The sequence below is a fragment of the Homo sapiens genome, chromosome 1 (assembly GCF_000001405.40).
Source record: "Homo sapiens chromosome 1, GRCh38.p14 Primary Assembly".
NCBI lineage: Eukaryota > Metazoa > Chordata > Mammalia > Primates > Hominidae > Homo > Homo sapiens.
Window position 1 is genome coordinate 32,535,828 of NC_000001.11, and position 16,209 is coordinate 32,552,036.

Below are 16,209 nucleotides of genomic sequence, written 5' to 3' on the forward strand. Positions count from 1 at the left end.
CTCTAAAGTCAATGATCTCCAACTTGTTAAATGTAATGGACATTTTCTTTTAGATTTGTTCTCTTAGCAATATTTAGCACTACTGCCCAATTCTTCCTTTTTTCCTTATTTTTATAGCTGGGTTCTCGCTCTGTCACCCAGGCTGGAGTAGTAGTGATGCCATCATGGCTCACTGCAGCCTAAAGCTCTTGGACTCAAGCGATCTTCCCACCTCAGCCTCCTAAGTAGCTAAGCCTACAGGCACAAACAACCAAGCCCAGCTAATTTATTTTATTTTTTTTGTAGAGATCGGGTCTCATTATGTTGCCCAGGCTAGTCTGGAACTCCTGGCCTTAAGCCAACCTCCTGCCTCAGCCTCCCAAAGTGCTGGCATTACAGGTATGAGCCGCTGTGTCTGGACTCTTCTTTTAGTTTTTATGCCATCACATTATCCCAGGTCTCTTCCTTCCTCTCCAGTCTTCTCACACTCATTTGCAATTTCAGCTTCCTCTAACCACCCACTAGATGAGGAAGTAGCTCAATGTTTGGTCCTAAGCCTTCTTTGCTTCTCATTTTATATTCTCTCTCTATGCATATCCATGGTTTTAATTCCCATCCCACCTATATGACTTTGATGATGAAATTTCTTTTTTCTTTTCTTTTTTTTTTTTTTTTCAGACGGAGTCTCACTCTGTTGCCCAGGCCGGAGTACAGTGGCATGATCTCAGCTCTCTGCAACCTCCACCTCCTGGGTTCAAGTAGGAATTTTTTTTTAATTTAAAAATTTTAAAAATCCTGCCCTTCTAGTCCTCTCTCTCTCAGTGAACAGAACCACCATCTGTCCAGTTCCAAAAGGCTGGGAGTTGTCTTTGACTCCTCCTTCTCCCTCATTTCTCAGAGTCAAACTATTATCTCTAATATTTAACTCTCCACCTCACTTGATCTCCCCACTTCTATCTACCTCCACTCTAGTTCAAGATTCTACCATCTCTTAGCTGGGCCACTGTGATCCACTCTTCCTTCCCTCTAATTTATCTTCCACAGTCATCTTTTCAAAATGCTTACCTCATCATAGCACACACACCCCATGCAGCTTAAAACACATTAATGGCTCCCAAAGTTCTTAACCTGGCCCGACAAGGCCCTGATGGTCTGACCCCTGCCTCCCTCTCCCATCTTATCTCTTGTCTCTCTCCCTCACGTTGCACTCCAGTCTCATCAGCCTTTCAGGCTATATTCCCATCTACCAAGCACCATTTTGCTCCTTCTATCTGGAATGCTCCTGACCACTCACACGCTTGCCTGTTAATTCCTACTCCAGATTTCCAGTCAAGATAACCTCCTCAAGGAAGTCCTCCTTACACAAACCCTCTCCCTCATGAGACGGGTCCCCACTTCATCAATATTCTCATCACACGACATACCTTTCCTTCAGACTTATCCAATTTTCAAATTATACATTTATTTGATTACCATCTGTCTCCCCCACTAGACTGCAAATCCCATAAAAGCAGGGACTTGGTGAATTTTTTGCTCACCACTGCATTCCAAGAGCCTAGAGCAAAAACTTTACCCTTAGCAGGCACTGTTAAAATTGGAATGGGACCAGGTGCGGTAGCTCATGCCTGTAATCCCAGCACTTTGGGAGGCCAATGAGGCTGGATCACGAAGTCAGGAGTTCAAGACCAGCCTGGCAACCTGGTGAAACCCTGTCCCTACTAAAAATACAAAAATTAGCCAGGCGTGGTGGCGGGCACCTGTAATCCCAGCTACTCTGGAGGCTGAGGCAGAGAATTGCTTGAACCTGGGAGGCGGAGGTTGCAGTGAGCCGAGATTGCATCATTGCACTCCAGCCTGGGTGACAGAGCAAGACTCCGTCTCCAAAAAAAAAAAAAAAAAAAAAAAAAAAAAGGAATGGATTATCTTCCTCAAGATTTGAACTGAATAGGTGGAAACAGGGATGGGGGTTGGGTGGGGTGGGAGACAGAGTTTAAGAGACTAGCACTGGTTAATGGTGGAGCTCTAGCATACAGAAACGTGCTCCCAAAGCTAGGAGAATGAAGGTGAGGGACAAAACTCTCATTACCTCTTCCTTGCAACAAAGAGGTTATTTTTGTTTGTTGTTTTTGTTTTTGTTTTTGAAATGGAGTCTTGCTCCGTCACCCAGGCTGGAGTGCAGTGGCACGATCTTGGCTCACTGCAAACTCCACCTCCTGTGTTCAAGCCATTCTCCTGGTTCAGCTGCCCCAGTAGCTGGGATTACAGGCGCGCACCACCATGCCCAGCTAATTTTTGTATTTTAAGTAGAGATGGGGTTTCACCATGTTGGCCAGGCTGGTCTCAACCTCCTGACCTCGTGATCCGCCCACCTCGGCCTCCCAAAGTGCTGAGATTATAGGTGTGAGCCACCACACCCGGCCTCAACAAAGAGTTTATCACCAACCTGATGTGCTCTCTTGAGGAATATGTTTGTGGAACTCTTTTGCATGTTTTAATTAACTAAGGCTAAAATAAAACCTTTGGCTAAAACCATGTCCAGGTCTTTCTGGGGGAATTCTCAATGGGGGCGCTAGCAGAGTAATCTGAGTACATCCAACACACCAGACACCTAATGGTTTTCAAATATGTTTCTACTTACCTGTTCAGAAGGTGAGGAAATGCAACTAAATAGCAAAGCACCTCTGCAGTGACACAGAAGTGACATTGAGACAATTGTGAATATCTTGTATCCTCAAAATGCATAGCTAATTATTCCTGAAATCAAAGTTACAAACTGTCCAATATGAATGATTTTGAACAGGAGAGGAATCCATTAAAAGCTAAACGCAAGTTTTGATAATTTGAACCTTTTCCCTCCAGTTTTACTATAACACAGTACTTTTCAGTACCTGACCCCAGCATAAGGAACTAGAAAACTAATTTATAGAAGTAATGCTTCTACAGTAACAGTGAAAATCCATTGATTTACTATTTTAGCAAATGTATAACCTGATATCTGTACTCTAAATATTAGAGACGTAAATTTGTCAGAGGAAGCTTGGTGTACGATGAATGCTTGCATTGGAAAAGACGCAACTTGCTATTTTTACTAATTTTATATTTCTCTGGACTTAACTAAGAATTATGTTCTCTTATCTCAGCCTCTCTGGGTTTTCCTATTCAAATGAAATGCTTCTGACCTGTACAGGTTTAGAAAAGGTTATCCTCAACTAAAATAACTGCTTCAGTACAAGGGAAAATTCTGTGGAAATCTTTTGCATTTGACGTTGCTAAACTTAAGTACAATAATGTCACATGTACTTATACAGTAATTGTGGGCACGCCTAAGTCCCTCCCTCTTTCCTAAACCAAATCCCCAGATCCTAGAAATCCAGCCCTTCTGCCCTCCGGAGGCGCCTTTCCCAACGTAAAGTACAATTTTAAATTTCAGCTCCTGACTAAAATCATGATCCGCAGTCAACTGCTAGAGAATCTGGGCACCCCGGTGTCTCTGGAGCGTGCAGCGAGTGTGGGCAAGGGCAGGGGGAGTGGGCGAAGCTGCTGGTTGGTGCCTGAAATCTGTGCGTTGCCCCTTTAATTGTGTCCCCAGCCCTCGGGCGTTTCTGTCCAACGCCCACGTCAGCAAATACCTTTTGTTTCTCTCACGTTGGGGCTACTTGTTTTAGGGCGCAAAGGAACGGCCTCGAAAGGGGGTCCTTCCCCAGCCGAGAACCAGGAATCTTCCCTCGGCCCGCGCGCGCGACCGGCCGGTGCGCCGCGGCCCGCGGTAAGTGGCTGCACGCGGCGCCGGCGGAGGGCGGGCGGGCGTCGGGGCTGCCCGGGACCCGCCGCGAGCCTGGCCGCGGGCTCTGACGGCCCGGGCGGCGGCAGTGCTGGGATGCGGGCCCCGGGCGCGCCTCCCCCAGACGTCCCCGGGCCGGGAGCGCGGCGGGAGGCGCCCGGGAGGGGCTGCGGGACAATGGCCGCGCCGTCGCCGCCCGCGCCCGCCTCGCCGCCCGGCCCGGCCCGGGGAAAGGCGGGAAGGCGCGCGGAGCCTCCTGGAGGCGGCGGCGGGAAGGCGGCGGGGACGGCGCCGGGCGTGTCTGGAGCCGTCGGGCGCCGCGGACTCTGGAGGGGCTCGGGCTGCGCGGAGCAAAGACGGGCGGCCGCCGCGGGGGCGCGCGGGGAGGGCAGGGCAGGGCCGGGGCCGGAGTCTCTGCGGGCGCGGCCAGGGGCGCTGCCGGGGAACCTGGCTCCCAGGGCAGTAGCCCGAGTTTCTCGGTGCAGCCTCCATCCTTGGTTTTATGTCAAGATGCGACATCTGGGCTTAGAACCGAGGGCGAACTCACCGCGCCTAACCAATGTTGAGCTCCCAACTATTTGCTTCTGGACGGAACCTTACATGCTCATCTCTACCCATGCGGACCGCCTCTTTTGTGAGTTAGTCAGCGGCTTGTTCCCTTCCCCTTCAGATGCGCTTATGTATCCCCGATTGTTCCAATGGCCCTACTCCACATCATTCTAAGACGCGTTTGGAAGCGGTAGATTCACACACACCTGGTGGGCTTCTAACCACACACGTCAATATCACCTCTATGCTTGATAAACCTTTATAGTTGCACAACTTTAAATGGAGTGCTTTCACCTATATGAATTATTTCACTTAATTTCACATAAAACAACCACCTAGTCAGGCTGACGGTAATTCCACTTTGCAGATGAGGGAACACGTATGAAGCATGGCGTTTCACCTCTAGGCTAGGGTGACCATAGCCGCCCAGGGCCTCCTGTTCCCGCCCTGCCTTCCCTCCTAAGGCACCTCCAGAGGAGTCTTTAGAAGGGCCAGTCTTAACACAGCGCTTCCCTGCTCTAAAAACCTTAACTGATCTTTTTCAGGAAAGCCTCCAAAATCCTCAACAAGCTTCTGCTCCAGTCTTATCTCCTCCATGCCTCAGGTATGGATGCGTTTGTAGACTGGAGCAAGAGCCCCTCACTGATAAGCAGGGATCAGATGTCTTTATTCCTGGGAACCTCTCTGGCCACACAAGTGGCAACTGGGAAGTGAGAATCTGGCTTAGGGCCCTTGATCAAATGGGTGTCTGGGTGGATTGTGCTCTAAAATGTCAGCAGGAGGCATAATGAGTAGGGACTCCAGGAAGGAGGCCACACCACTAACCCTTATCTCCTAGCCCTGAAATCACCAGCTTCGCTGTTGATAATGATTTGGGGCCATCAAAAACTTTGTAAGATAGAGTAATTTAATTCATCGTATGTCATTTAAATCTAATTTTTAGATAAAACTGTGTAATAGACTTAACTCAGTGACACAATGATATGTTAATCATATTTAAAGATTTGATGTGTTTGATTCCCTTGAATGAAGCTTTTGCCACTTTTCTGCTCAAAATTGGTCAGTGGCTCCCCATCTTACGCAGTTTAAAAGCCAAAAGCTCCATAATAGTCTATGCAGCCTTACAAGCACCTGGTCTCACCATGTCCTACTTCTCTCATGATCTGCTTTCCCTTTCTGACTCCATATCCCATTGCTTCCCCCATGCCTCCTTGCCTGCTCACCTCAGGGCCTTTGCACTTGCCGTTCCCTTTGCCTGAAATGCTCTTCCCCCAGACACCCACATGACTCTCTTACTTCCTTTGGACTTTACCCAAATGCCATCTTCTCAATGAGGCTTTCCTCAACTATAGTTTTGATTCTCTTAAGTGTTTTTATTAATTCTAAATCTTTTCTGTCTCAGGCCATTTGTGCAGCTATAAAAATACTTTGGGACTGGGTAATTATAAAGAACAAATTTATTTCTCACACTTCTGGAGGCTGAGAAGTTTAGGCAGTTTGGTGTCTAGTGAGGGCTGCTCTTTGCTTCCAAGATGGCACCGTGTTGCTGCATCCTCTGGATGGGAGGACTGCTGTGTCCTCACGTGGCAGAAGGAATGGAAGGGCAGAAGAGGCTAAACTCACTCCCTCAGGTGCTTTTATAAGGGCACTAATTCCATCCATGAGGGCAGAGTCTTCGTGGCCCAATCACCTCCTAAAGATGATACCGTTGCAATCGGGATGAAGTTTCAACATGAATTTTGGAGGGGACACAAATGTTCAAACCATAGCTCTTAAATGTTTTTAATACAGACGATCACTGACTTACAATGGCTTGACTTACGATTTTTTGACTTTACAGTGCGTTTAATGGGGTATTAAATGCATTTTAAACTTACAATGTTTTCAACTTAAAATAGGTTTATTGGAATGTAACCCCATCGTCAGTTGAAGAGCATCTGTACTTAATTCTAAATCTTCCAAAGCTGAAGGATCATTTATCCATCAAGGAATACAGTTACCACTCTAGTTAGCTGAAGTTCTTTATGACTCAGGAACGTTTGCTAAGCAGGCTAACAAGATTAGTTTTGCTGACCCTGGTGGGACACATTAAATTTTAGATTAATGACTATATATCTTAAAAGAGTTGATCTTCCCAGCCGAGTGTGGTGGCTCACACCTATAATTCCAACACTTTGGGAGGCCAAGGCCTCGGGGGTCGGGGGGGCGGGGTGTGGATCACGAGGTCAGGAGTTCGAGACCAGCCTGGACAAGAAGGTGAAACCCCATCTTCTTTACTAAAAATACAAAAATTAGCACACAGTGGCAGGCACCTGTAATCACAACTACTCGGGAGGCTGAAGCAGGAGAATCACTTGAACCTGGGAGGCAGAGGTTGCAGTAAACCGAGATTGCGCCACTGCACTCTAGCCTGGGCGACAGAGCAAGACTCCGTCTCAAAAAAAGAGAGTTGATCTTCTCAACGACAACCTTAGTTCAAGTTACACTCGCTACTTAAATCTTCAGTCTACTCATAGAAATACATGTCATTGGCTTCTATTCCAAAGACTTTCGAACTTAATGGTTCCTAAAATGTGTAATTGTCTTTCCCAACCACCTTTTTAAAGATCATTGAACTTGATGGAAATCTTGAATTCTGTTATATTCTTGGGACTATTATAATATTTAACTCTTACAGATATTTAAAATGTTTCCATTTGGATTTTGGATGTCCCATATAAATTGATCTAACTTGCTGTTTCAACGTATAAAGTCACTCTACTGAAAGAAGAAAATCTGAAATGCATTACCGATTTCCATGACCTAATCACATAATTCTGAAAATAACTTAAACCTTTTTTGATGACTCAAGAGTACTACTATGAATGCATGTTATGTTAAAATCCTTTCAATGTGAATATCAGGTTGTAACTGACCCCAGTGTATAGGACAATTCCTATTTTTTTTTTAGATATAACTTTTTTTGAGACGGAGTTTCACTCTTGTTGCCCAGGCTGGAGTGCAATGGTGTGATCTGGGCTCACTGCAACCTCCGCCTCCCAGGGTCAAGCAATTCTCCTACCTCAGCCTCTCAAGCAGCTGGGATTACAGGCACCTGCCACCATGCCCGGCTAATTTTTTGTATTTTTAGTAGAGACGGGGTTTCACCATGTTGGTCAGGCTGGTCTCAAACTCCTGACCTCAGGTGATCCACCCGCCTCAGCTTCCCAAAGTGCTGGGATTACAGGTGTGAGCCACTGCGCCTGGCCTGAGATATAACTCTTACGCCATAAAATTTACCCATTTTAAAGTGTACAATTCAGTTTTTTGATATGGTCACAAAATTGTGCAACCATCATGACCCTCTTAACTCCAGAACATTTTCATCATTTGCATAAAGAAACCCCATGCCTGTTAACAGTCACTCCTATTCCCATGTCTCCCTAGCTCCTGATAACCCCTCATCTACTTCCTATGTGGATCTACCCATTCTGGGCATTTCATGTGAATAAAATCATAAATAAAATATGTATTTTTTATGACTAGTTTCTGTAACTTAGCATCAGGTTTTTTGTTTTTTAGACAAAGTCTCGTTCTGTCACCCAGGCTGGAGTGCAATGGCGCGATCTCGGCTCACTGCAAGCTCCGCCTCCTGGGTTCACGCCATTCTCCTGCCTCAGCCTCCCGAGTAGCTGGGATTACAGGCACCTGCCACCATGCCCGGCTAATTTTTTGTATTTTTAGTAGAGACAGGGTTTCACCGTGTTCGCCAGGATGGTCTCGGTCTCCTGACCTCATGATCCGCCCGCCTCGGCCTCCCAAGGTGCTGGGATTACAGGCATGAGCCACCACACCCAGACTTGTTTGTTTTTTAGAGACAGGATCTCACTGTCACCCATACTGGATTGTGGTGGCGTAATCCTGGCTCACTACATCCTTGACCTCCTGGGCTCAACCAGTCCTCTGCCTCAGTCTCCCAAGTAGCTGGGACTACAGGCTCACGCCACCGTTCCCAGCCAGCATGAGGTTTTTAAGGTTCACCCATGTTGTAGTATATACAGTCATATGTCACTTAATGATGGGGATATGTTCTGAGAAATGTGTTGTTAGGTGATTTTTGTTGTTGTGTGAACATCATAGAATGTACTTACACAAACCTGGCTGATATAGCCTACTACACGCCTAGGCTGTATGGTATAGCCTATGGCTCCTAGGCTACAATCCTGTATAGCATAATACTATAGGCATTTGTAAAACAATGGTAAGTATTTGTGTATCTAAACATATCTAAACACAGGAAAGCTGGGCACAGTGGCTCACGCCTGTAATCCCAGCACTTTGGGAGCCCAAGGTGGGTGGATCACCGAGGTCAGGAGTTCAAGACAAGCCTGGCCAACATGGCAAAACCCCGTCTCCACTAAAAGTACAAAAATTAGCCAGGCATGGCGGTGGGTGCCTGTAATCCCGGCTACTCAGGAGGCTGAGGCAGGAGAACTGCTTTAACCCAGGAGGCGAAGGTTGCAGTGACCTGAGATGGTGCTACTGCACTCCAGCCTGGGGGATAGAGCAAGACTTTGTCTACAAAAATAAATAAACAAATAAATAAACACAGGAAAGGTACAATAAAAATATGGTATTATAATCTTATGGGACCACCGTCGTATATGTAGTCAGTTGTTGACCAAAATGTTATGCGGCGCGTGACCATATCAGTACTTCATTCTTTTTATGGCCGAGTTACATTCCATTGTATGGGTATACCACATTTTGTTTACCCACCTGTCCGTCAGTGGACATTTGGATTGTTTCCACCTCTTAGCTGTTGCAAATAATGCTATTATAAACATTCGTGTATCAGTTTCTGTGTAGACGTATGTGTTCATTACTCTTGAATATATACCTAGGAGTGAAATTGCTGGGTCATATGATAACTCCATGTTTAATCATTTGAGGAACTCCCAGACTGTTTTCCAAAGTCGCTGTACCATTTTATATTTCCACCAGCAGTGTGTGAAGGTTCTTACTTATCTATACTCTGGCCAACACTTAGTATTTTCATGTTTTTTAAAAAATTATTATATCTCTGGAAAAACATGGAAAAAAAAGAAAATATAGAAAAAGAAGAAGAAAAAAATTTTAAAAAATTATTGTAGCAAACTATCCTAGTGGGTGTGAGGTAGTATCTCATTGTGATTTTGATTTGCATTTCTCTAATGATTAATGATGCTAAACATCTCTTCATGTGCTTATTTCTATTTGTCTTATTTAATCTTATTTATTTTAGCGATTATCTTATTTAATCCTCTTAACAGACTTCCTTAGAGCCTCTAAACAGTCAATAACCTCATTTTACAAAAAGGAAACGAATGCTTAGAGTTAAGTAACTTGACAAAGTCACACAGCTAATGATTGGTAGACCTATAATCCTGTGTTTCTTCTTTTTAAAATCCTTCAGAAGTGCCTCAGAACCCCCAAAACTGGAGGGGCTTCCAAGATCTAGCTCTTACATACTTTTCTAGTTTCATCTTCTGCCATCCTTCTGTAGGCCCACAGTCTCTAGCTATAGCAAACTTCTTACCATCCCCTAGGAGGCCATGCTGTTTAATACGCTGTTTTTGCCTTCCCATTTGGTGCTCTCTCTGGCTAGAACGCCTTTTGCCCTCTTTCTCATGTATAAACTTCTTTTCATCCTTCAAGACCCAACCTAAACGTTGAGCCTTTTGGAAATGTTTCTCAATACTACCAGGTACAATCATTTGCTTTCTTTGTTTTACAGTTCCCTTCTACTATGAGTATTTTCTTCATTGTATTGTCACTTTGTCTAGAAGTCTCTTCTCTTCCTGTCTCTTCTCTGACTCTCTCTCTCTCCTACTAGACAGTGAGCTGCTTGAAAGTGAGCACTGACCTTTGACATTTCATCACCTCTATATTCTCAGGACCAGGTATAGTCTGGTATAGAGTAGTTGCTCAATAAATATGTCTTGAATAAAATGCGTTTCACCTGCCAATTTGAGTATCTGCCCTTCTCATAAAAATAGAGTAAAAGGGCCACATACAGTGGCTCACACGTGTAATCCCAGCACTTTGGGAGGCCAAGGCGGGCAGATCACTTGAGGCCAGGAGTTTGAGACCAGCCTGGCCAACATGGCGAAACCCTGTCTCTGTTAAAAATATAATAATTAGCCAGGTGTGGTGGTGCGTGCCTGTAATCCCAGCTACTCAGGAGGCTGAGGCATGAGAATCACTTGAACCCAGGAGTGGCAGGTTGCAGTGAGCCAAGATCATGCCACTGCACTCCAGCCTGGGTAACAGAGTGAGACTCTGTCTCAAAAAAAAAAATAAATAAATAAATAAAAGATTTTTCTGTTAAAATATAGAAAGAGCCAGACATGGTGGTACACTGTTATAGTCCCACCTATGTGGGAGACTGAAGCAGGATCACTTGAGCCCCGGAGGCCAAGGCTGCAGTGAGCCAAGATCGTACCACTGCACTCCAGGCTGGTGGGACCTTGTCTCAAGAATTTAAAAAAGGAAAATATACTTCTGTGGAGTTCAGAACAATGTAAAATTAATGATTGTATCAAAAGATGAAGTTGTTTTCTTTCGGCTGTTTTTCTGACCCTTCAGAAAACCTCCATTGCTTTGAATCCTGTGGCTCTCAGCAGCATGTGAAACACGGAGGGCATAGCGGATGCCTTATATCACCTTCAGTTCCCTCTGTCTCCCTGGCGCTGTTGGACTAGGTCCAACATAAAATTCTTACAGTTCCAGAATATCTGGGGGAAGTTTTTTGTTTTTGTTTTTGAGACAGGGTCTTGCCCTGTTGCCCAGGCTGGAGTGCAGTGGCACAATCACAGCTCACTGCAGCCTCAGCCTCTCAGGCTCAAGTGATCCTCCCACCTCAGCCTACTGAGTAGCTGGGACCACAGGCATATACTACCACACACCTGGCTAATTTTTTAATTATTTGTAGAGATGAGGTCTCGCCATGTTGCCCAGGCTGGTCTCGAACTCCTGGGCTCAAGTGATCCTCCTGCCTGGGCCTTCCAAAGTGCTAGGATTATAGATATGAGCTACCATGCCCGGCTGGGGGAAGTTTTATTCCAAAATCTGCAATGTATTTTTCATCACCAGAAGATACCTCAGCAAACCAAACTAAGCCATAATTTTATCCATGACTTTTTAAATATATACATTAGAGTAGTATTCTAAGTATAAACAAATTTTCTTTTCTTTCTTTTTTTTTTTTTTTAGTAGAGATGGAGTCTTGCCCTGTTGCCCAGGCTAGAGTGCAGTGGCATGAGCATTGCTCACTGCAGCCTCGAACTCCTGGGCTCAAGGGATCTTCCCTCCTGCCTTAGCCTCCTGAGTAGCTGGGACTACAGGTTCGAGCCACTGTACTCAGCAACATTAAAACATAAACTTTTAGGTTGCAAATCTTATTTTAGGTTATAGATCTCATTCTCAGGCCACTGCACTCCAGCCTGAGTGACAGAGCAAGTCTGTATCTCAAAAAAAAAAAAAAAAAGAAAGAAAAAAAGGCAAAAATGGTTTCTCAAGAATAATTTGGCACACACTTGTATTCAGAAGGCTGAGGTGGGAGGATCACCTGAGCCCGGGGAGGTCAAGGCTGCAGTGAGCTGTGATCTCACCACTGCACTCCAGCCTGAGCAACAGAGAAAGATTCTGTCTAAAACAAAAAACAAACAAAGCAAAAAAAAAAAAAAAAAAAAAAAGACCAGGCGCAGTGGCTCACACTTGTAATCCCAGCACTTTGGGAGGCCGAGGCAGGTGGATCATGAGGTCAGGAGTTCGAGACCAGCCTGGTCAAAACAGTGAAACCCCCATCTCTACTAAAAATGCAAGAATTAGCTGGGCATGGTGGCCGGCACCTGTAATCCCAGCTACTTAGGAGGCTGAGACAGTAGAATCACTTGAACCCGGGAGGTAGAGGTTGCAGTGAGCCGAGATTGCACCACTGCACTCCAGCTTGGGCGACAGAGCTAGACTCCGTCTCAAATTAAAAAAAAAAAAAAAAAAAAAAAAAGAATAATCCTTCCTTAAGGTGAGGTCTGCAATTGACTAGTTGGAGTCGAGGGTTGCTATTCCCAGGTACACATGTAGTTTTGAAATGATCGCTCTCACTCTCTCTAGGTACATGAATATGATGAAACCAGTCAAAAAACATTTTTTTTTTCTGTATCCACATTTTTTGTTTTTGTTTTTGTTTTTGTTTTGAGACAGAGTCTCACTCAGCCGCCCAGGCTGGAGTGGAGTGGTGCAATCTCGGCTCACTGCAACCACCGTCTCCAGGGTTCAAGCGATTCTCCCGTCTCAGCCTCCTAAGTAGCTGGGATTACAGGCACCCGCCATCATGCCCGGCTAATTTTTGTATTTTAGTAGAGATGGGGTTTTGCCATGTTGGCCAGGCTGGTCTTGAACTCCTGACCTCAGGTGATAAACCCGCCTCAGCTTCCCAAAGTGCTAGGATTACAGGCGTGAGCCTCCTTTCTGTATCCCCATTTGTATAAGACAAGAAAATGTGTGGCAATAAAACTCTAAAATGTTTACATTTTGTACTCATTGAAAGCAGTGTTTTTAAATGTTTAGATAATTAATAATAATAATAATAGCTGACATTTATCAAGGGCTTGTTATAAGCCAGGCACTGTTATAAGCACGTTTCTTGGATTAGCTTCTAATATTCTCCATCTCGCAGCTCTGTAAGCTATAGGTATTATTATTGTCCCTGTATTAGTCCATGCTCTCATTGATAAAAAGAAATACCTGGCCGGGGCCAGGCACCGTGGCTCATGCCTGTAATCCCAGCACTTTGGGAGGCTGAGGCAGGCCGATCATGAGGTCAGGAGTTTGAGACCAGCCTAGCCAATATGGTGAAACTTCATCTCTACTGAAAATACAAAAATTAGCCGGGTATGGTGGCCCGCACCTGTAGTCCTAGCTACTCCAGAGGCAGAGACAGAATCGCTTGAACCCGGGAGGCAGAGGTTGCCATGAGCCGAGATCACGTCACTGCACTGCAACCTGGAGGGCAGAGTCAGACTCTGTCTCAAAACAAAACAAAACAAAACACCTCGCTGGGTGCTGTGGCTCATGCCTGTAATCCCAGCACTTTGGGAGGCCGAGGCGGGCGGATCACCTGAGGTCAGTAGTTCGAGACCAGCCTGGTCAACATGGTGAAACCCTGTCTCTACTAAAAATATAAAAATTAGCCACGCATGGTGGGATGTTCCTGTAATCCCGGCTACTTGGGGGGCTGAGGCAGGAGAATCGCTTGAACCCAAGAGGTAGAGGTTGCGGTGAGCCAAGATCACACCGTTGCACTCCAGCCTGGGCAACGAGTAAAACTCCGTCTCAAAAAAAAAAAAAAAGACTGCCCAACAGGCCCCCCAGGGAGGGAATCAGGAGGCTGCCAATGACATTGCTAGTGTAATTTAAGGGTCGACTAACTGCTATAGGCCATGCGCAGTGTAATCCAGCACTTTGAGAGGCCAAAGTGGGAGGATCCCCTTGAGCCTAGGAGTTCGAGTTTACGGTGAGCTGGGAGTGCACCACTGCACTTCAGCACTTCATCCTGGATGACAGAGTGAGACCCTGCCTCTGAAAATAAATAAAAGGAAACAACCCTGCTACCCCTGAACTTCCCCTGAACTCCTACCAAATAGTGACTCCTGTCTTCACCATGTTTGTCTTTTGACAATCATGAAGCTTTTGACACTGGAATGCTGCTATGAGAAAAAAATACAATGTTTCCATAAATGTGCTTGCCAGCATTAACAGCCAAAACAGAAGAAAGATGGTTCCCACCTCATTTCTGCCTTCCGGATCTCACAGAACATCTCATTGATAGGCCACATTTCACATGGGGAAACTGAATTGTAAAGGAGTCTGGGAAATGTACTTTTTAGTTTCCAGAAGGAAGTTAGGAAAGGATGTTGATGCCGGTCGTGGTGGCTCATGCCTGTAATCTTAGCACTTTGGGAGGCCGAGGTGGGCGGATCTCTTGAGCCCAGGAGTTCAAGACCAGCCTGGGCAATATATCGAGACCCTTTAAAAAAAGGATCCTGAGTGTCCATCCACAGATCAACTCTAATATCTGCTAGAGTGGAACTTGGTGTCATCTGAAAAAAATAGCATTCCATCAGCATGTAAAAATTGTTTAGGGCACAGACCATGCTCAGAAATCAGTTCTTTTGGCCAGGTGCAGTGGCTCACACCTGTAATCCCAACACTTTGGGAGGCCAAGGTGGTGGGTGGATTGCTTGAGTCCAGGAGTTCGAGACCACCCTGGGCAACGTGGTGAGACCCCATCTCTACAAAAAATACAAAAAAAATAGCCAGGTGTGGTGGTACACGTCTGTGGTCCCAGCTCCTCGGAAGGCTGATGTGCAAGCATCAGCTCCCTTGAACCTGGGAGGCAGAGGTTGCAGTGAGCCAAGATCGTGCCACTGTACTCCAGCCTAGGTGAGAATGAGACCCTGTAGCAAAAACAAAAAGAAAAAGGAAAAAGAGATCAGTTCTCTTAAAAAGCCACAAATTAGGCCAGGCGTGTTGGGTCACGCCTGTAATCCCAGCACTTTGGGAGGCCGAGGCAGGCGGATCACAAGGTCAGGAGTTCGAGACCAGCTTGGCCAATATGGTGAAACCCCGCCTCTACTAAAAATACAAAAATTAGGCGGGTGTGGTGGCAGGCTCCTGCAGTCCCAGCTACTTGGGAGGCTGAGGCAGGAGAATCGCTTGAACCCGGGAGGCGGAGGTTGCAGTGAGCCAAGATCGCGCCATTGCACTCCAGCCGGGGCAACAGGAGCGAGACTCCGTCTCAAAAAAAAAAAAAAAAAGCCACAAATTACCACCGTACACACCCAGTACGCTGGACAGTAGTTAATATGCCCTTAAGTGGCAGTGTTGAAGCAGTGAAGCAATCCAAGTAAATGCCATTCTCTGAATGCCCTTCTAACTCATTAGGGCTAGGTGACAGATGAGCTTTTAGTGTGGCAACGGGTTGTTCTCAAAAATTATTAATTTTGGGCCAGGCACAGTGGCTCATGCCTATTATTCCAACAAGGTGGGAGGATCACTTGAGCCTAGGATTTCAAGACCAGCCTGGGCAACATGGAAAAACCCTGTCTCTACAAAAATACAAAATTTAGCCTGGTAAACCTCTAGTCTCAGCTACTCAGAAGGCTAAGGCTGGAGGATCACTTGAGCCTGAGAGGTCAGGGCCATAATGAGCCATGGTCACACCACTGCATTCCAGCCTGAGTGACAGAGTGAGACTCTCTCTCAAAAAAAAAAGTGCTGGGTATGGTGGCTCATGCCTGTAATCCCAGCAATTTGGGAGGCTGAGGCGGGTGGTTCACCTGAGGTTGGGAGTTTGAGACCGCCTGACTAACATGGAGAAATACCATCTCTACTAAAAATACAAAATGAGCCGGGTGTGGTGGTGCATACCTGTAATCCCGCTACTCGGCAGGCTGAGGCAGGATCACTTGAACCCGGGAGGCAGAGTTTGTGGTGAGCCAAGATCATACCATTGCACTTCAGCCTGGGCAACAAGAGCGAAACTCCATCTAAAAAAAAATAAAAAGTTATTTCAGTTTGTTTTCGTATTTATTTATTTAGAGATAGGTCTCACTATGTTCCCTACGCTGGTCTGGAATTCCTGGCTTCAGGTGACCTTCTTGCTTCTGCCTCCTGAAATGCTGGGATTACAGGCATGAGCCACTGGGCCCAGCTCCTCTTCTTTATACTTACCTGTACTTTCTTTTTTTTTCAAGATATGTTGAATTTTTAAAGCTATTCTGTTCAGTTTTCTTCTAAAACACATTGATGACATTTGGAGGAAAAGAGCAATAGGACTTACTATCTTGGTATCATCTGCTGGCCTGCCTTTGAATAGT

General features: G+C 45.7%; 1 protein-coding gene and 1 long non-coding RNA gene across 4 annotated transcripts in view, besides 3 other annotated features; one reads left to right on the forward strand and one right to left on the reverse strand.

Moving 5' to 3' along the window:
- The first annotated feature begins 3,599 nt into the window (after window positions 1-3,599).
- The window catches only part of ZBTB8A (zinc finger and BTB domain containing 8A), a 66,515-nt gene continuing 53,905 nt past the window's right edge, over window positions 3,600-16,209 (forward strand). For all 3 annotated transcript variants that reach the window (NR_111980.2, NM_001040441.3, NM_001291496.2), the window contains exon 1: window positions 3,600-3,745. The gene's annotated coding sequence lies outside the window, so the exon portion shown is untranslated. The remainder of the gene's footprint in view (window positions 3,746-16,209) is intronic.
- Window positions 3,963-4,332: a silencer, noted in NCBI's record as "silent region_601". NCBI's record gives its function as "represses an Ori minimal core promoter by ATAC-STARR-seq in GM12878 lymphoblastoid cells {active_cell/tissue: GM12878}" and the evidence as "EXISTENCE:reporter gene assay evidence [ECO:0000049][PMID:35858748]".
- Window positions 5,749-15,799, reverse strand: LOC124903952 (uncharacterized). Its single transcript, XR_007065669.1, has 2 exons — window positions 15,761-15,799; window positions 5,749-6,002 (listed from the first exon to the last, which is right to left on the reverse strand). It is a non-coding gene; the product is annotated as an uncharacterized LOC124903952 (long non-coding RNA).
- Window positions 11,775-11,959: a silencer, noted in NCBI's record as "fragment chr1:33013203-33013387 (GRCh37/hg19 assembly coordinates)". NCBI's record gives its function as "represses an EF-1alpha promoter that drives an FKBP-Casp9 reporter gene in an ReSE screen in K562 erythroleukemia cells {active_cell/tissue: K562}" and the evidence as "EXISTENCE:reporter gene assay evidence [ECO:0000049][PMID:32094911]".
- Window positions 13,967-14,167: a silencer, noted in NCBI's record as "peak165 fragment used in MPRA reporter construct". NCBI's record gives its function as "represses an SCP1 promoter by STARR-seq MPRAs in K562 erythroleukemia cells {active_cell/tissue: K562}" and the evidence as "EXISTENCE:reporter gene assay evidence [ECO:0000049][PMID:32103011]".